The sequence below is a fragment of the Homo sapiens genome, chromosome 6 (assembly GCF_000001405.40).
Source record: "Homo sapiens chromosome 6, GRCh38.p14 Primary Assembly".
NCBI lineage: Eukaryota > Metazoa > Chordata > Mammalia > Primates > Hominidae > Homo > Homo sapiens.
Window position 1 is genome coordinate 13938154 of NC_000006.12, and position 21506 is coordinate 13959659.

Below are 21506 nucleotides of genomic sequence, written 5' to 3' on the forward strand. Positions count from 1 at the left end.
CATGCCTGGCTAATTTTTTGTATTTTTTTTTTTTTTTTTTTTTTTAGTAGAGACGGGGTTTCACCGTGATAGCCAGGATGGTCTCAATCTCCTGACCTCGTAATCTGCCAACCTCGCCCTCCCAAAGTGCTGGGATTACAGGCGTGAGCCACTGCGCCTGGCCTTTTTCTTATTGATTTTTATGGAGTTCTTTATATTTTCTAGATAGAAGTCCTTTGTGCAATGTATGTGTTACAGAATTCTTCCACACTGTAGCTTGCTTTTAACTCTTATAATTTTTCAATGAGAAGTGTTTAATTTTAATGAACTCATTTATACATCTTCTTTTAATGTTAGTGCTTTTTGTGTCTTCTTTAAGAATTTTTTGCCTGCTCCAATATCATGAAGATATTCTCCTATGCTACCAAGAAGTTTTATTGTTTTACTTTTCACATTTAGATCTATAACCCCTTTGAATTGATTTTTGTGTAGGGTGTGAGGTAAGGGTCAAAATGATTTTTATCTATGTAAATATCCTGTTGACCCAGCGTTATTTATTGAAAATATTATCTCTTCTCCATTAAATTGCAGTGGCATTCTTTTCATAAAAATAAGTAATCATATGCTTGTGAATCTCTGTCTGGATTCTGTATTTTGTCCTTATGATGTATTTGTCTAATAAAGTGTCTTACATAATCCCAGCACTTTGGGAGGCCGAGGTGGGTGGATCACCTGAGGTCAGGAGTTTGAGACCAGCCTGGCCAACATGGTGAAACCCCGTCTCTACTAAAAATACAAAAATAAGCCAGGTGTGGTGGTTCACGCCTGTAATCCCAGCTACTTGGGTGGCTGAGGCATGTGAATTGCTTGAACCCAGGAGGCAGAGGTTGTAGTGAGCCAAGATTGCACCACTGCACTCTAGCCTGGGCAACAAGAGCAAGACCCTGTCTCAAAAAAACAAAACCAAAAAGTGTTTTACATTGATGTAATCCTGATATCAGGTAGTATAAGTTCTTCAGTTTTGTTTTTTGTCTTGATTTTCTTTTAGCCCATTTTTAGTGTTTGGCGTTTACATACAAATTTTAGTATCATCCTGTCAGTTTCCACAAACAACCTGATAGATTTTGATTGGAATTGCATTGACTGTGTAGATCAGTTTGGGAGAGTTGACATTTTTATAATATTGAGTCTTCTAATCAATGAACACAATATAGCTCTCCATTTAATTATGTTGTCTTTAATTTCTCTAAGTAATGTTTTGAAGTTCTCTCTGTAGTATTGTACTTCTTTCATTAGATTTGTTCTTTTTGTTGTTATTGCAAATGCCATCTTTTCACCTTGTAATTTTTTGTTTCTTGTGTATATAAATACATTTTTGTTTTTATTTTTTTATTTTGTATTTATTTTTATTTTTTTATTTTTATTTTTTGAGACAGAGTCTCTCTCTGTTGCCCACACTGGAGTGCAGTGGCGCGATCTGGGCTCGCTGCAAGCCCTGCCTCCCAGGTTCATGCCATTCTCCTGCCTCAGCCTCCTGAGTAGCTGGGACTACAGGCGCCTGCCACCACGCCTGGCTAATTTTTTGTATTTTTAGTAGAGATGGGGTTTCACCTTGTTAGCCAGGATGATCTTGATCTCCTGACCTCGTGATCCACCCGCCTCAGCCTTCCAAAGTGCTGGGATTACAGGCGTGAGCCACTGTGCCCGGGCATAAATGCATTTTTGTATCTTGACCTTGATTCTAGGGATTTTGCTGCATTCACTTCTTAATCTTAATAACTTATTTGTAGAATGATTTGGATTTTCTGTGTACATCACTGTATGTGATGAATAAAGAGCTTTGTTTCTTTCTTGCCTGATTCTTGTATCTTACACTTTTTTTTATTGCCTCATTGCTCTATCTAGGACCTCAATTATAATTTTGAATAGAAATGGTGATAGCATGTACTTTGTCTTATTCCCAATTTCAGGGGGAAAGCATTCAATATTTAAAATATGGCTCTTGCTTACAAGTGTTGTTGAAACCTTTTTATCGATTAAGAAGATCTCTTATTTCTAATTAATAGATATTTTAATCATGAACATGTGTTGAGTTTTAGCAAATGATTTTCCGCATTTATCGAGATGATGATATGATTTGTTCCTCCTTTATTTTGTCAATATGGTAATCACATTTTAAAAAAATGTTAGAACAGTTTTGCATTTCTATAATAAATCCAACTGATGTGCTATTATTTTAGTGTTTTGTTGGACTCAATTTAGTGAAATTTTGTTTGAGAATTTGTCTATGTTTAGGAGAGAGATTGGTGTAAGTAGCTGAATAGTGCCTCCCTTTTCATTTTTGATATTTACAATCTGTGCCTTTTTTCCCCCCTTGATCAGTCTTGCCTGGGGTTTATCAAATTTATTATTTTATCAGTGAACTTATTTTGACTTTTTTTTGCTATTGTATGCTTATTTTCTAATTTATTCATTTCTGTTCATAGTTTGTTCTTTCCTAATATTTTTGGCTTTAGGTTTTCTGTTTTTTCTAACTTTGTGAAAATGCTACTTAGATTATTGATTTTCAACTTTTCTAACATATGCATTCGAAGCTCTGCATTTTCCTCAAGCATGGCTTTAATAGTATGCTCTTAAATTCTGTCACATTTTTTCTGCTCAAAATATTTAAAAATATCCATGTGTTTTTTCTTTGACCATAAGTTATTAGACATTTATTACTTAATTTCCAACGGTTTAGGATATTCTAAAAATCTTTTTGTTGATTTCTAGCTTAATCCAGCTATTGTCAAAGAACACGCTATTAACATTTTAGTCTTTTTTTTTGAGACTATTCTTATGGCCTGGATATGATCATTTTTGCTGAGTGATAGACATGCACTTGAATAGACTATACAATATAATCAATCTGTAGTTGTAATTGCAGAATTTGGTGCACATAGATTGGGTCAAATTCATTAATTGTATTGATCAAAGTTTCTATCTACAATTTTTCAGTCTGCTTGTTCTGTCAATTACTGGGAAGGATAAGCAAAATCTCTCACTGAGATGATGAATTTTTCTACCTTTCATTCTGTCAGTTTTTAAGTATATATTTTGAGGATATGTTATTGGATATATACAAACTTATAATTGTTATAATTCCTTGGTGTATTGGACACCTTTCCTCTCTGTAGCTCTCATAATGGTTCTTGACTTACTGTCTACAGGTCTTATAGTAGTATATACCAACTCTCCTTTGTTAGTTGGTTAGTGTTTGCATGGTATATCTTCTTATATACTTTAAATTTCCTGACTCTATTTTTAGTTGTTTCTTTTATAAGCCGCATATAGCTGGCTTTTGTTTACTTATCTCACCTGACAGTCTTTGGAGCAGCTAATAGTTCATTTACATGTAAAGTACTTGATAATATAATTGGGTTTAAACTTCCCATTGTACTATTTGTTTTCTAACTGTCCTATCTGTTCTTTGTTCTTTTTTTCTTTCTTGCCTTTAAAAAAATTAATAAAGAAATTTTAATTCAGTTTTCTTCTCTCTTTTCTTGTTAGTTATACATTGTGTTTTACTCTTTTGACTGTTATCCTAGAGATTATAACATCTATTTTTCACTTATGAATATACTTTAAATTAGTATTTTAATCCTTCCGTGATGGTGTAGTGTTATTAGAATACTTTGACTCTATAAACCCCTTGCTCTTTTTGGAATCGTTGTATCAGTTTAATTCCACACATGAATAAAATAACATTATACATTATTGCTGTTTTATACAGTTAGTATTTATCTATATTTATCATTTATTTTCATTCCTTCATGTAAGTCTGTGTTTCCCTTTGGGATTATTTTCTTTCTGCTGGAAGAACTCCCTTTAGTATTTCTTTCTATTTTTACTTGTTTGAAACTATTTTGTCTTAATTTTTGAAGCATATTTTTGCTGCATGTGGAATTCTAGGTTGTCAGTTTCTTTCAGTACTTTAAAGATGTAATTTCATTGTCCTCTGTTTTCCATTGTTTTTGTTGAGAAATTGGCTGTCAGTCTCACTTTGGTCCTTTAGAGGTGATGTGCCTTTTTCCTCTGTGTGTTAAAAATTTTTTCTTTGTGTTTGGTATTGAAGGGTTCTGTTAAGATATGCTGAGACACTTTTTCTTTACTGTCTATCTTGCTTGGGGATCATAGAGGTTCTTGAATCAGTTTTAGAATATTCTTTAATTAAAAAAAATTTTTTTTGAGACAAAATCTTGCTCTGTGGCCCAGGCTGGAGTCAAGTGGTGTGATCTCAGCTCACTGCAACCTCTGCCTCCTGGGCTTAGGTGATCCTCCTGCCTCAGCCTTCTGAGTAGCTGGGACTGACTACACGTGCCACCACACCTGGCTAATTTTTGTGTTTTCAGTAGAGATAAGATTTTACCATTTTGGCCAGACTGATCTCAAACTCCTGTCCTCAACTGATCTACTTGCCTCAGCCTACCAGAGTGCTGGGATTACAGGTGTGAGCCACCACCCCTGGCCAGTTTTAGAATATTCTCAGCAGCTATCTCATCAAATAGTATTTCTTCTGGTCTGATCACTTTCCTCTGCTCCTAGAAGTACAATTTTATATCCTTTAGACTCTTTCACCCTGTTCTATTTGACTCCTAAACTCTTTTTCCTATTTTCCATTGTATTTTTTCCTCTTTAGTTTGGAAACTTTCTAATGACCTATGTTTCAATTCACTAATGTTCTCATCTTCTGTTCCGTTCTTATTTTTATTTTATTTTGTTAGGGCTTTATGGAAGTATAACTTATACGCCATAAAATTCACCCATTGTAGGTGTAGCATTCAATGATCTTAGTTAAATTCACAGAGTTCTGCAACCAGAGAAAGAAAATCTTACCTTATTCTTTGTCTTTTCTGAAATTCTTATTTGGTAGATTAGTAGATACAAACAGCCCTGATAGAGCTATAGTTATTTAATTACATTCAGGGAATACTAATGGCTACCTTATCTAAATGGTGAAAGTAGTTTCTAAATTATAAAGTACTGTTAATGTATACTTTTACTCATCCAAATAAAAAATATTTAATAACATATATATCAAAACCCTTGGTAAAAATAAAATGCTATACAATGTAAGGTGTTATTACCATGTGCATAGAGGTGGTTCCTGCTTTTTTTTTTTTTCTTTTTGTAGAAATAGGGTCTCACCGTGTTGTCCAAGTTGTTCTTGAACTGCTGGGCTCAAGTGATCCTCCTGCCTCAGCCTTCCAAAGTGATAGGATTAGAGGCCTGAGCCACTGTGCCTGGCTGAAGTCCATGTTTTTTTGATGGAGATATAAAAATGGACTTTCTTTTTTTAACAGTAAATCATGTATGCTACTGGGTAAGTGAATTTTGAGATGCTAGTTACAACTTTGTACCATTGGTACTTATCTTACCGCCTTGGAACTGCTATATTTTGCATACATGCCTGTCCCCCTCTGTGAATTACAAATTTTTTGAGGAAGGTGACAATGTCTTGCTCATTGTTAGTATCATTGTATGGCACCTAGAACATGGGAAGTATTCAACAAATGTTTGCTAAGTGAATAATGTTAAAGTTTTGCAGCCGACACTTTTAAAAATGATAAGACATATTTTATTCAGTACTACTTCAGTAGGGGAGAGACCTCAGTGTTACCGGAGCTTAACTGAACTGAACAAAAGACAGGAGCCCTTTTAAATGCTGGGATGTACTAAACAAAAGGTACTAAAAGACATTAAGGGTGATTTGTATGTGTAGTTAGGCAGTGTGGGTTTGTTAATTGGTGTTTATCTGGAGGAGAAACAAACTTCTTGTATCCTTAGGACAGGAAATATAGTTGTGCAAATTGGTTCTTGTGTCTTTAGGACAGGAAATATAGCTTTGCAATTTGGGACAAGATGCCCACCAGTTAGGCTCTTACCCTCCTACAAGAAGAACTGGGCAACAGGAGAGGTATCTCTCTGGATGTTTACATTTCAAAGAGGTGGCTCCCAGGTCCTTGAGGAACTGTTTCTGGGTGGTAGAGGATTTACATCTCAAAGGTACAAGGAAAAGATTTACAGTTGCAAGCTTTCAGGAGTAAATGCTCTAGAAAAGGAAGGTCAGGGACCTATTATCAGGTGTTGGCTAGAACCAACAGTAAGTTATTTTGGCTTAAGAAATAATTTGAGAAAGCTCTGAGCTTTCTCAGGTAGGCATGTTAAGGAGGTGGTTTTGTCATCCTAGGGACATGGCCTTGGGCTGATAGAACCTGAGCTAGTGTTTGTTCAAATGTCTTAGTGTGGAGGGTTGATGAAATGGGTTGTGCTGAAAGTTGCAGTTTGTATAGGTCAAAGTGGAGGCCTAGTTGAAAAGAGGACTCAGAGGAGCCTGACTAAAGTTTGGTCAAGGAGAGGGTCTTTGTCAATAATGCAGGGCAAGGAAAGGTAATTTATGCATGGAAATTCAGGATGAAACCAGAAATGGGGTGGAAATTAGGCATACCTATCAGAATTTAATGTCCAGCACTGGCTGAGAAAGAACGAATGTTTAGTTAACCAGGTGTGCTATATCTGTTATTTGTACTTAATCCTTTCAATACACCTGTGAGGTCAGTACTGTCTCTATGTTACAATCAAGAGACAGAAGCACAGATATTTTAAATAACATGTTCAGGGTCATATAGTCAGTGATCAGTGGAGTTGGGATTCCAACCCAGATGTTTTTGACTTCAAATGACTCTGATCATCAGTATGTATTTTAATATTGTTATATAGCAATTTGCTTTCCTCAGAAGTGATTTACATTAATAACAGTTAAGATTGCTAAGCTGCTTACTAAGTGCCTGATCCTAAGAAGAACATTTAGCCGGGCTTAATAAACATTGAGGAGTGAGAACATAAGAGTGTTACTAGAGATTTGCTTTCTTAGGGTGGAAATGCCCTCAGTTGTCACTTGAATTCCTGCTAACACCCCAATACATGTGGAAAGGTTGCTCTTAGTTATAGAGCCCTGTTATGTTGGAGCTGGAAGGTCTTTAGCCATCAAGCCCAGAATCTTAATTTCTCAGATGAAAAAGCCATGACCCAGAAAGTTTAAGTGATTTACTCAAGATCTCAGAGTCTGTACATTAGAGAGAGCTGGGCTTGATTTAGCCAAAAATTATTGTGGCCCACTTTAGGGATTTACCCTCAGATGTTGTCATCACAAAATGTATGTATCAAATGTGAAACTGCCACTTCGTTGCCAGGGCATTCTTTTAGCAAATAACCTTAAACGTTGGAATTGCCCTTATGAGGAGATGATGGTACTTCAGCAGTGCCCCTCAGAGCCCGTTTAGATGATTTTGCAGAGCTTTCTGTTTTAAACACTTCTGTCTGAAGTGTTTAGTGTGATGCTATAGGTTAGGCAAAAATATAGTAACAGCAACATGACAACAACAACAAAACAACCAACATGGATAAACAAATGAACCTTAAAAAAATTTTTGTCACTACAATGTTTTAACAATTTCAAAGATTGACATAGACCTCTTCTCTTATTTGTGTTAAGACCTATTAGTTTATGCTATTTTTTGTGTTAAACAGTAAAATGTTTATTCCCTTGTTATATTCCATTACTGCTGTGCCTTAATTTCATCTTGACAGTTTTCCTCTGCCTTTTTGGCATCCCATTCATTCTGATTACACCAGTGGATCTGTTACCAGAAAGGGGTCCCAAACCAGACCTCAAGAGAGGGTTCTTGGATCTTGTGCAATAAAGAATTTGAGGTGAGTCCACAGAGTAAAGTGAAAACAAGTACATTAAGGAAGTAAGGGAATAAAAGGGTGGCTATTCCATAGAGAGACTAGGGCATTCCCAAAAGCAAGAGGAGAAACACGTCTGCCTTAGGTATAATGCTTATTTATATATAACAAAGGAAAAAGTCATGGGGAGATGTGCTTTACTACAAGGGTTTGTGACAAAGTATTGTTAATCTTTGTGTAACTACTTTGGAAAGAATCTGTATTATCTTTAAAGCAAAACATTATTATTATTATTATTATTATTATTATTATTATTATTATTTTGAGATAGAGTCCTGCTCTGTTGCCCAGGCTAGAGTGCAGTGGCACAATCTCAGCTCACTGCAACCTCTGCCTCCTGGGTTGAAGCAATTCTCCTGCCTCAGCCTCCTGAGCAGCTGGAACTACAGGCATGTGCATTATGCCTGGGTAATTTTTGTATTTTAGTAGAAATGGGGTTTTACCATGTTGGACAGGCTGGTCTCAAACCCCTGACCTCAGGTGATCCACCCGCCTTGGCCTCCCAAAGTGTTGGGATTACAGGCATGAGCCACCGTACCTGACTGCAAAACTTATTCTTAAACTAAGAATGCTTTTGTTCATAAGATATCAGGACATCAGGACATTTCCTGGGTCTGTTATTTCCTGGGTTTGTTAAGTCCTGGGTCTGTTCAGTAAACATTATTAACTTCTTCCCTTAACTGTAAATATCCTATGACTAAAAATGTCTAGCCTCCTGGGAATCCAGCACAGTAGGTCTCAGCCTCATTTTACCCAGCCCTAATTCAAGATGGAGTCACTCTGGTTTGAATGCCTCTGACACATTTCCCCCCTCCCATTTATAAGGGGACCCTTAATCCTGAAGGTTGCAGAGGGATAGAAATTTATCTTCTGTAGCTTCTTCAGGCTGAACAGGGGCAATGATATTCCTGCCTAACAATTTTTAGGGTCTCTTGTATTTAGAGTTGGGAGGAGTTTAGTCATAAAGTGTTAGTATGGTGAAGGTCATTCAAAACTCTGAGTCCTGATGAAAGATGATACCTGGAAGATTAGTAAGTATTTAAGAAAACATTGAGTAAGCTTATCCTGAATTATATACAAAGAGTACAACAGCAATATATTCTACAACTGTAAAGCGAAATCAGTAAAATTGTCTAAAATTAAATAAGAGCTTTCTATGAACTGGGCAATTGTGGGAACCAAGCTGATATGGGGTCGCTAGCTGATTTCATTATGTGTCCAGAATTAGAATAGTGATTCAGATTTTTATGTTAATCATGCCTCATGTTTCTTTTGAGCAGCAGCCAGAGATCACTGGTTGGTTCACAGGAATAAGCAGGGTCAGTCTAAATTGCAGAAAAAACTCAAAAACAATGGATGAGACTAGAGTCTGGTAACAGGTGTACCATAGTTTGTGAAACATAATTTTTCTCTCTCCAGTCCCTATTTTTATTTAAACAAACCATGGTAGGACTGATTTGTTGGCAAAATAAATTTTAGTCTTATTGTATGTGGACTGATTTGTTGGCAAAATAAATTTTAGTCTTATTGTATGTGGCCTGGTTATTTGTATAAAGTGAAGCAAGAATAATTATTTGCCATATAGGCTCTTTTGGCTTTGATGGAACTGTGTTCTATAATCTAATCTTAGATTAGACTTTTTAAAGCCTTGAGACCAGTCATGGATTTATGTGTGTCTGCAAATATGAGTTGGATAAGTTTCTCTCCTCTGGATGTCCCAAGATATTTGGGGCTCCTGGGCCTGTCAGAAAGTGACATTCTTTACTTGCTACAGGTCAGGAGCCCTGTACAAGGCTCAAGATATGAGGTCAGTTTTCTTAGGGGCTTTAATTGGCTCTATAAATGAATTTTGATTCCTTAAACCAGTTTGTTTACATTTGAAAGCATGTCAGTCATTCCAGTCAAAGCCTTGGTAAAATAACCAGTGTCTCCAATTGTGTCTTGTCACAAAGGAAAAATTCTTACTGGACTTATGTAAATAGCTATATCACCATAAGTTAAAAATACTCACAAATAGTTTCCAAATTTGGGAGAAATCAGGTAGAGAGAAAGAAATGTGCTCTAAATTTTGTTTACAGTAGTATATTATACTCAATTGTTGAAAGCTGTAAATAGCTCAAAATAAAAGTTTTCTTGACTCTGAAAAACAAAACAAAGGCAAAAAGTCATGAATAGATTATTTTGGTCTTCTATTAGTTGTCTATGCAATTCCTGTTTTTCTCAATATTTATGAATACATTAGTTTTCCAAGAGTCTTGGAAGTTTTTCTTCGTTTTAATGGCATACATTTCAAAGCTGTGAAAGTCCTGCTTTATAAGAGTACTTGTCAGAGTCCTATAACTGATTATAAACTGCCTTTTGAAGAGAATCAAAACAAGACAATTGCTTGTAGATGACAAAAAGTCTTAGGGCAGCTACAGTCAGAGACACAATTGACAAGGAAATTTGGCCCCTTGTGGCACACAATAATTTAAGATAACAATTATAACTATTAATGATAACATATACTAAGTTATACCAGAATTATAGTAGTTTTGCATAATTTTGGAACACATACCAATAACACATTTAAATAACCCAAAAAATGTCAGATGCCATTTTGTATTTGACAGTACTTCCTGTATGATTTTAGTATGTCAAATAAGTCAAATATGCCATTATTGGACTTCAGGGGACCTAATATCTAAAAGGATTATCAAGTCAGGAAAGACTTATTAAGTCTTTAGGTCCTACTTAAGTCCTAGTTTGATTTGGGAATGTTTGTTAAATAGCAAAGGTGTAAAACACTTTATGTTATAAAATAGAATCTCAGGTCACTGTAAGTCATTTATTTAGCCAAAATGACAACTTAAAGATTTTAAAAAGGCAAAAACCTTTACCCATTGATAGAGGGAAGAGTTAGCTTTCCAAATAATGTCTCTTTTCTCTCCTTTCTTTTTTTTTCTTTAGTTTATTCAAAAGACAAACAAAAATCTTTTATCTTTTAATATTACATGAAAATCTTGTTCAAAAGAGAAAGCCAAATTTCACTTTTGCATTAATGTACTATTAATGTCAAATCCAATTTTTAATAAAATCATACGGACAAAATCTACTCACTCCTAATCAGTTTGACCATAAAGTAAGATTTTCACAAACCTTTTATAACCCTTTAAATTTTTTGTTGATGGCAAGATGGCTGCCACTGCCTTTGCCAGTGCAGTGAGAGCAGCTTCAGGAATCTTATAGCCCCTGAATATTTTGGCATCTTCAGCCTACCAAAACTGTGTGTCAAGAATGCCTCTCTTATTTCTGCATTGTCCACTGGACGTTTTAGTCATATTCAGACACCAGTTGTTTCCTCTGCTCCCAGACTTACCACATCTGTCAGAAACCTGACATGTGGGCATCCTGCGGTAATCTTTAATAGAGTGGCCCCCTTGCTTCCAAGTGTCCTGAAGCTGCCAGTCAGATCTCTAACATTCATTTGTACACAAAAAGGCAAGAGAAAGACTGTGAAAGCTGTCATCTATAGGTTTCTTTGACTTCATTCTGGCCTTTGGTTGACGAGAAAGGCTGGTTATAAGAAAAAATTACGGAAAAAGACACTTGCAAGAAAAAAGCAATTGAGGGAATCTGTGTTCTGCAGTAAAACCCAGAGTGAACTCTTAGATAAAATGATGATGTCCTTCTGGAAGAGGTGAAAAACTGATATGACGATGATTCTTATCAGAAGTTATCATGATCGAACAAACCTGAAAGTATAGATCAGAAGTTTTACTTGTTTCTCAGTTATTGAATATGTATCTTTGTGTACGATATCTTCACAAAAATGGGTAAGTATAAAACTTGATGTAAATTGTACCAACGAATAGGTAAACATACAGTGCCAACGTTAAACTTATAAAAGTTTTAAAACTTAAAAAAAATTTTGCTGAAGAGTAGATCAGTGCTCTAAGAAAACCCTGTTGTGCATTTTTCCAGTATTCAATTTATGGAAAAACTAAACAATACCCTCTTAATTTTAGTCAATTTGTTCACACACAGAATTTCTTTTACAAGATTAATTTTTCACAAACTTTCCACCATTTGCTCAAATTTTTAGCTTTATTCTATCTAACTTAAAATAATTATTCAGCCCTCTGAACTAGGCAAGAAACTTCTCACATTCCCATGTCTTTTTATAAGCTTTTACAAAAAATACATTCTACTTTTCTTACATACCTTGCTCCAATAGTCTCAATTACATATGTTACAATGTTAACTCGTAGCAACTTTTATTTTTGGTGAAAAACTTGGTGAGTGAGCGATTTTAACCTTGTATCAGATTGTAGAGCCCAAGACAAGGACAGAGCTGTAAAGTCTGACCTTCCCAGCCTAGTCAGGGGACCAGGCTAATTCCATACATCTCAAGGCCTTACCTGGAATTCGCTGTAAAGCAGACAAGTCAAATAATTATAAAAAATGTCATAGAAGCAGTTTATGACCTTAACACATTTACCAAGGACAGTATTCAGCTTGCCTAATTTAGACTAAATGTCTAAAAGTCATGTGAACTAAATGACATTAAAGTTTTTATTTTTCTGACAAAACAGGTACTTTTTTTTTTTTTTTTTTTGACAGAGTCCTGCTCTGTCTCCCACGTTGGAGTGTGATAACACAATCTTGGCTCCCTGCAACCTCCATCTCCCGGGTTCAACAATTCTCGTGCCTCAACCTCCCGAGTACCTGGGATTACAGGCACACACCACCACACATGGCTAATTTTTGTATTTTTAGTAGAGATGGGGCTTCACCATGTTGGCCAGGCTGGTCTTGAACTCCTGATCTCAGGTAATCTGCCTGCCTTGGCTTCCCAAAGTGCTGAGATTACAGGCATGAGCCACCACACCTGCACTCCCCCTTTATTTTTTTTGAGATAGAGTCTTGTTCTGTCACCTAGGCTGGAGTGCAGTGATGCAATCTCAGCTCACTGCAATCTCTGGCTCTTGGGTTCAAGTGATTCTCCTGCCTCAGCCTCCTGAGTAGCTGGGACTACAGTCGTGTGCCACCACACCTGGCTAACTTTTGTATATTTAGTAGAGACGGGGTGTCACCATGTTGGCCAGGCTGGTCTTGAACACCTGGCCTCAGGTGATCTGCCCACCTCAGCCTTCCAAAGTGCTGAGATTACAGGTGTGAGCCATTGTGCCCAGCCACTTATTTTTCTTTAAGTCAGTTAACCAGAGCTCTTTCATATGTAAACATCACACACACAACACATATAAATACACGGAGAGATGGAAGAAGATCTAATAGTTATAATATTTTTTATTTGCCAGTTTTAAGTTTCTTAACTGGATTACTGGCTTCAGGCAGAAGACCTTCAAGGAACAGGGTCAGGAAAGCATGCAGTTTCTAGGGCCTAATAAGCAGGCATGGTTGGAAGGCAAAACAGATCCTCCAAAATTAAGAGCCCCATTTTTATACTGGATCCTTGATCCCCAAAAAGAGAGAATTAGCCCATCCCCTATGGGAGTCTTATCTCTCAGTTGGGGTGGGGACATTTCCGTACCTTCCAGGTGGTCAAGAACATGCTTCTCTGATCCCAGTGTGCCAAGAGCAGAGTATTCCTCCCTCATAGCTGCCATTAGCTGTCCCTAAAAGTATATGTCCTACCTAGTTATTACACACCAAGGCTAAAAGCTCTCATAATGCAAGTGATTTTGACCATTCATTTAACCAGTTTTCACAGACAGGCCAGAAGCCTGACTGGTAGGAAATTCCTACCTTTTTGCCAGCATGCCAGGTTTCTGGGTTACCTTTCTCTGAGTGGCTCTGATAGTCTTGCTTGTTGCCCCATAGCTGTGGGGTCCAAGCCACATTATAAAAGAAAATCATCTTTTTCCATTTCGTGGACCCATAGGCAAAGACTCTCAGTTTTGCAAGATGCCACCCAACAGGCTATGTGGGGGAAACAAATGAACATTTTCCATTTTGTCCAGAGCAAAATACACATGACAAACTTAGATACTAGTCACCCCACTCATCACCCAGCATCAACCTGGCAAGGCTCAAACTTGCCCCTTTTGGCCCCTGCCTGTCATCTTTGATCCACTTAAAGTGGGGTGGGATGACCTCTAACCAGGAGTTTCAACATGTGGTCTCTGGGCAAGATGGAAAAGCAGACAGTTGCCCTGCAAGACAGAAAAGATAGTAAAGAGACAGGAGAGAGAGAGAGGAAAGGGAAGGGCGAAAAGCATTGTCTGTTGTGGGGCTGGGAGGCGAGGAGCTCAGGGAGACCAGGGAAAGACCCACCCAGTGCAGCAACACTGAATCAAAAGTCTAGGCAGCTGCTTGTCAGTTGTGAAGAGATCTTCTCCAGCAGGCCGTCAGCTCTCACATTTCCCCCTTTGCGGGAGAGAAAGCTCCTCATTGTCCCACTATCCTGTACATGCCTAATCCTGTCACCCACAGCTGTCAGCAAAGAGTTCAAGGCAGATTAATCCACAGAGAAAAGCGGTCAACATCCCATAGTGTCAAATCCATTTTTGACCAAAAGAGGCCTTACTGAGAGGACCCTCTAACCCCTTACGTCTCGGGAGGGATGCTAACCCTTCTGAGTTGGGTCTTTAACCCAACTTTGTCCTTTACCTGGGATGAAATGTATCCTACGGTTTATCCAAAGTCGGCCAATTGGTGCTGTGCAGACGATTTTCCTTTGGTTAAGTGGGGGTCTCTCCGGTATCATCCCTTCATGGCTCATCACAGAATATGTTACTGGAAAGGGGTCCCAGTCCAGACCCCAAGAGAGGGTTCTCAGATATTGCACAGGAAACAATTTGAGGCAAGTCCACAGAATAAAGTGAAAGCAAGTTCATGAAGAAAGTAAGGGAATAAAAAGGTGACTACTCCACAGAGAGACCAGGGCATTCCCAAAAGCGAGAGGAGGAACACATCTGTCTTAGTTAGGTACAATGCTTGTTTATATATAAGATAACAAAGCAAAAAGTCGTAGGGAGATGTGCTCTACTACAACGGCTTGTGACAAAGGACTGTTAATCTTTGTGTAACTACTTTCACAGGAATATTATTTTTAAAGCAAAACTTATTCTTTTTTCCTTTTGAGATGGAATGTTACTGCAAAACTTAAACTAAGAATGCTTTTGTTCATAAGACAGGACATCAGGACATTTCCTGGGTCTGTTATTTACTGGGTTTGTTAAGTCCTGGGTCTGTTCAATAAACATTATTAACTTCTTCCCTTAACTGTTAATATCCTGTGACTAAGAAAGCCTAGCCTCCTAGGAATGCAGCCAGTAGGTCTCAGCCTCATTTTACTCAGCCCCTAGGCAAGAAGGAGTCACTCTAGTTTGAACACTTCTGACAGATTCCTTGGTGTGGAAACTGTGTGGCATTTCATTCCATTCAGTGACACAGTGGACAGGTGAGTTACTAGTGAAGATGTAGAACAAAGGGATTAGTACTGCCCTGGGTGTGTGTGTATGGTGGGGGGCAGAGGGGTGGTGGCAGTTGTTACTGGCTATAGAGCAGGAGGTAAGTAGGAGAGACTGGGTGAGGATGGGATTTTGGGGCTGTCAGGGTAGTTATCACAGAAGTCAAAGGCATGCAGGGAACAGAGTGGAGGAAGAGTCCAGTGTTTTATATTCACGAGTCATGGAATAGGCAGTGTGAAGCCTCTGGCTTATAAAGTGGCGTAAGTCAGGGCCACTTAGAGAAAGGAAATTTCTCCTTAGAAGAGCAAAGTAGACAATCAGGAGAGATTAGCCATGCTGTTAAAGAATATTAAGGAGTGGGAATGAGGAACATGGGAAGGCATAGATGCGCCTTCTCTGCATTCCTTAGCACTCTGTGGGTCCTGCTCATGCGACATTGACCATCAAGCGTGGTAATGGCTGAGTTCCTTATGGGCTCCCCCTCTAGACTGTATATTTCTTGAAGGTGAGGCCATCGCCAGCACCTAGCCCAGGGCTTATGCTGTACTAAACATTCAGTAGGCATTTGGTTAATGAATGAATATACATGGTGGATGGGCAGGGGGAGAAACAAAGCATCCATGAGCACAGATGTTGGAAAGTAGAGAGAAAGCTTTGCTAATGATTTTATTTTTATCTTTTTATTATGGAAAAAGTTTAAACATATTCAAAAGTAGAGAAAATGATATAATGAATCCCTTTTTACTTATCACTCAGCCTCAACAGTGATCAACATATGGCCAATCTTGCTTCATTTATCTGCCCCCCTCCCCATTGGATTATTTTGAAACAAAGCCCAGATGTCATATTATTTCATCTGTGAAACCTCAGTATGTATCTTCAAAACATTGAAGAGACTTGCCTTTAAATAATATAACTGCAATGTCATTATCACACCAGAAAACAATTGCAGAGTAATTCCTTACTGTCATGAAATATTGGTATTCAAATTTCCCTTATTGTCTTGTAAATTCTCCCCTTCCCCATTGGTTGGTTAGAATTAGAATCCAAACAAGGACTACTCATGTATTTAGCTAATAAATCTCTTAGGCTTTTAGTCTATAGCAAGCTTTTCTAACCTGTGGCCTGTGGGCCACATGCTGCCAGGACAGCTTTGAATGTGGTTCAACAAAAATTCATAAACTTTCTGAGAACATTATGGGATTTTTAAATTTAAATTTAAATTAAATTAAATTTTTTTTTTAGCTCTTTGGGTATCATTAGTATTAGTGTATTTTATGTGTTGCTCAAGACAATTCTCCCTTACAGTGTGGCACAGGAAACTGAAAGATTGGGCATCCTTGGTCTGTGGGTTCACCCTTCTTTTTTTCCTTGCAATTTATTTATTGAAGAAACTGGATCCTTTGTCCTGTAGAATTTCTCACAGTCAGAATTTTAACTAACTACATCCCCATGTACTTTAATTCATTTTTCTGTCCCCTGTATTTCCTGTGAACAGGTAATGAGAACCTGAGGTTTGATCATATTTTCAGATTTTTGGCAAGAAGGCCTGTGAAGGTGGAGGGGCTCTACGCTTCCTGCTGCATGGCATCAGGAGGCAACTGCTGCCTTGTCCCTCCCTTTGTTGTGTGAAGCCCCATCAGTGAGCACAGGTGTTGTAAGCCTGACCTGTGTGTCATCCGCCTCCTTATCTGTTTTTTGCTTTGTGATTTTGGCAGCCATTGATAATTATTGTGTAGGTTAGGGGTCAGTAAACTTTTTATGTAAAGAGCCAGATAGTAAATAGTTTTGGCTTTGAGGGCCAATATGGTCTCTGTCATTGTAGTAGGAATGCAGCGTTGGACGGGATGTGCATGAATGGGTACAACTACGTGCCCATAAAACTTCATTTACCAGATTAGATTTGGACCTACTGGGAGTTATCTGCCAACTCTTGATCTAGATTGATTATTGTACTAAGGATTACACAGTAATACAATTCCATCATTGGTTGAAATCCTTCTATAAAAAGAATTTTACCTCATCAATTATTTGGTTACTTTAAAGGCATAACAGAAAGGAAGCTGCATATAAAGAAAAGGCAGAATAAATTCTTGTGTCTTTCCCTTGGTTATTTGGTTTCAGAGTGGGTTATGTTCCTCACATCTTCCAAAGGAGTTCATTTTGTTTTTTAAGTATCACCATGAAATAATGGCTTTTTAACATACTTGGTGTTTCAGTCTTTCTGGACTTAGGCCCTGTGGGTACACAGGAGGAGCCCCATGGCTGGTGTTGGTTAACAGTTGCACAGCAACCACAGGGCCCTTGATGCATTATGTGCTCCATGGCAGAATGTTTCCATGTCTCAGTTGTACTGTTATTGTAAATTGTATGAGTGGTCTCTGTCTGCAGCTTTATGATCCACCATGGTACCATTTTTTAAAAGTTTTATTAGGCCAGGTACAGTGTGGCTCACACCTGTAATTGCAGCACTTTGGGAGGTTGAGGTGGGAGGATTGCTTGAGGCCAGGAGTTCAAGACCAGCCTGGACAACATAGCAAGACCCTATCTCTATGCCCTCCCCATTTTCATACCTTTATTAGGTATGAAAATATATGGTTTTCAAATTCAGAAATTTGATTCTTTCCAACAGTTTTACATAATATTTAACATTTCCATGGGCTAAAACTTTTTATTAGCTCCCACATATGAGTGAGAACGTTCAGTACTTCTCTTTCTGTGCCTGGCTTCTTTCACTTCACATAATGTCGTTCAGACTTATTCATATTGCTGCAGATGACAAGATTTCATTCTTGCTTAGGGCTGAATAGTATTTCATTGTGTATACCTACCACATTTTTATATCCATTCATCTGTTGATGGCCACTTGATTCCAAATCTTGGCTATTGGCTATTGTAATAGTGACCAGCTGTCTGTTTTTAGCTTCTGCTGCACACTGTCTCTGCTTTGGCCTAATATATCCTGACTGTTCTTTGCTTTTTTTTTTTTTCCTTTTTTGTTTTTTTGAGATGGAGTCTTGCTCCCATCATCCAGGCTGGAGTGCAATGGTGTGATCTACGCTCACTGCAACCTCCACCTCCCAGATTCAATTGATTCTCCTGCCTCAGCCTCCCTAGTAGCTGGGATTACAGATGCATGCCACCACACCCAGCTAATTTTTGTATTTTCAGCAGAGATGGGGTTTCACCGTGTTGGCCAGGTTGGTCTCAAACTCCTGACCTCAGGTGATCCACCCGTCTTGGCCTCCCAGAGTGCTGGGATTACCTGCGTGAGCCAATGCTCCCGGCCTGTCCTTTGCGTTAGACTACTCTATAATGTTCTTTCTCTGCTTAATGTATCTTGGCTCACTACAAAAGTGTCGTAAGTTTCACTTCTTTCCATGGAGGTTTTCCAGACTAATTATGACCGTCTTCAAGGATACCAACGGCTGAGCTCTTTTTCTCTCAACCACAAATATAGGAAGAATGTATTTATAATTTAAAAGCTTCCCCAAATTCATCATTTCCTGGGCTGATATGAAAGGAAGCCATGCTCTACTTTCTTCCTGCTCTATAGTCAGTAACAAGCACCACCCCCCGCCCCCCACCATACACACACACCCAGGGCAGTACTAATCCCTTTGTTCTACATCTTCACTAGTAAATCACCTGTCCACTGTGTGACCGAATGGAATGAAATGCCACACAGTTTCCACACCAAGGAATCTGTCAGAGGTATTCAAACTAGAGTGACTCCATCTTGCATAGGTGCCTTTTGGGATAGAGTATTTAGAATGTCTGTCACACGGCAAAACTACTTAATATACAATAAATATAAAACTATCTTTCCTAGCAATCTTCTTTTTATGTAAGTATCATTTTGTCTCATTTAAAAAACACTGCAGGCTTTTACTTTATCCTAATCTTCACAGTTGAATATATGTCAATCAACAATGCCACATTATGTGGCTGTGTTGCAAAGTGACACATTCATTAAGATTGATTCTAAAAGGCCTATTGAGAAAAGCCACTGAGGGCAAATAAATTCAATAAAATTTAATCTATAGTTCTTTTTCTTCTTGTCAAGCTTGGATTAAGTCATGTATTAAATGTGGTAGAATATAGAAAGTTTTTAAATTTCCTTTTAAAACCTTTTTGCCCATTATTAATTGAGGCATTTCATTAATTGGATTGGTGACATTTTTGCTGAGTCCGAGTACGGTTGGACCTTGGTGAACAGAAATCTGCTTCATCTCATGAGATGTTGTAGCCATTTTTATTAATGCTGGAGAAGAGATGGTGTATTCTTTAGAATTATGGAAAGTGAGCAAAACGTTTTGGTTTGTGACTTTGTTTTTATTTTAGGATAATATTATAAAAATAATACCTTTGTGGCTTTAACTGTATTTGTAATTTTTAGAACACTGTGAATACTGAGATATTGTAGTGATAACTATTTTGCTAGTATGTAAAGAAACATTTGTGGAAAATTTAAAAGCCTTAAGGACAAAGTATACTTCTTCAGGTTGACATCTGGACATTTACAGAGAAACAATCCTATGAGAATTTTATTCTCTGAATTGTATTAATAGATACTTTTGGTGAGCCTAAACCTGAAGCTGATTGTGGACAAATATTTATCAATTGGAGATTTTAAATGATGAAGACAAAGAATGGAATTCTTTTATTTTTTCAACATGTATTGAGAGCTTCCTAGATGCTATGACTTATAAGTCTTTTATGTTTTTTTTAATGTTTATAGATTTCTTGGGAAGTTCATCTGATTTGATATTTTTATGGACATTTTAGAATGTTAAATTTATAATCTGTTGGGAGGCCGAGGCAGGCAGATCACGAGGTCAAGAGATAGAGACCATCCTGTCCAACATGGTGAAACCCCGTCTCTATTAAAAATACAAAAGTTAGCTGGGTGTGGTGGTGTGCGCCTGTAGTCCTAGCTACTTGGGAGGCTGAAGCAGGAGAATCGCCTGAACCCGGGAGAGGGAGGTTGCAGTGAGCCGAGATTGCACCACTGCACTCCAGCCTGGCAACAGAGCAAGACTCCATCTCAAAATAATAATAATAATAATAAAATCTATAATCTGAAAGTCTACATTATAAAATGTGTAGCATTCAAGAATATTTATCAAGACAAAGTGCTGACTTCACCACACTCAGAAGGGTGTGGTATACCATTCATGGATAGGAAGAGGTGGGAGGAGTCTTGGAGACATTTCAATATATTTATATGGCAGGTATTTATTATCTACTCTGTGCTAGCTTATGATAGGTGCTTGTGCTAGAATGGTAAGCAACATATTAGTGGTTCTTATATTCTTATAATTTACATTTTAGTAGTAGAAATTTAGAACAAACAAATAAGTTAAATTGGGCTTCTTGAAGTTTGTTGAAGGAAGTAAACAGAGTGCCATAATAGAAAATAAGGGGTAAGGGATTTTGAAAACGAGTAATTGGAGAGGACCTCCTTGAGGACTTCATATTGAGATCTGCTGTGGTTTTGGATATTTGTTACTTCTAGACCTCATGTTGAAATTTGACTAGATCTCTCATGAATAGATTAATGCTCTTCTTTGGGGGTGAATGAATTCTTATTCTTGTTAGTTCCCTTGAGAGCTCATTGTTAAAAAGAGCCTGGCACCTCCCCTGTCTCTTGCTTCCTATCTTGCCATGTGATCTCTGCAGATATCGGCTCCCTTTCATTTCTTCCCATGGATAGAAGCAGCCTGAGATCCTCTTCATATGCAGATGTCCAGTCCTGAACTTGCCAGCCAGCCAGAATTCTGAATCAAATAAACCTCTTTTCTTTATAATTTACCCAGCGTCAAGGTATTCCTTTATAGCAACACAAAACAGACTAAGGCAAGATCTCTAAGAAGGAATGAGATTAGTATGACATTTCACATTGAGCAAACAGCCTAAAACATGAAAGACTTTGTACTGTTCATGGAACTTAACAAAGGCCAGGGCGGCAGGAAAACAATAAGTTCAAGACAGGGTTGGAGGGAAGGCAGAGGCCAGATTATACGGTACCTTGCTGTGTAGAGTTTGGATTTTAATCTCTATGTAATGAAAAATGATTTAAGTGTAATAAACGGATGGTAGATATAATCCCATTTACATTTTTAGAAGCTTACTTTGGTTATTGCAATGAAAATAATTTATAGTGGGGCAAGATTAGAAGCATGAAGATAAATTAGAAGGTTCTGCAATGAACAAGGTCAAAACCTGGATTAGGATGTTGATGATGAAGATGGAATGAAATTGGAAGATTGGAAACATACTTTGGTTGAATTGACTGGCTTGCCAATGGATTGGACATGAGGA

At 37.8% G+C, this 21506-nt stretch overlaps 1 protein-coding gene and 1 pseudogene across 7 annotated transcripts in view, besides 1 other annotated feature; both read left to right on the top strand.

Annotated features, from left to right (window-relative positions):
* Positions 1–21506, top strand: part of RNF182 (ring finger protein 182) — a 55865-nt gene that overhangs the window by 13708 nt on the left and 20651 nt on the right. The gene's annotated exons all lie outside the window — the stretch shown is intronic.
* Positions 5790–6305: an enhancer, noted in NCBI's record as "NANOG hESC enhancer chr6:13944174-13944689 (GRCh37/hg19 assembly coordinates)". NCBI's record gives its function as "activates a minimal SCP1, AML or CMV promoter by ChIP-STARR-seq in primed H9 embryonic stem cells {active_cell/tissue: H9 hESC(primed)}" and the evidence as "EXISTENCE:reporter gene assay evidence [ECO:0000049][PMID:30033119]".
* On the top strand, positions 10939–11457 carry MRPL35P1 (mitochondrial ribosomal protein L35 pseudogene 1; annotated as a pseudogene).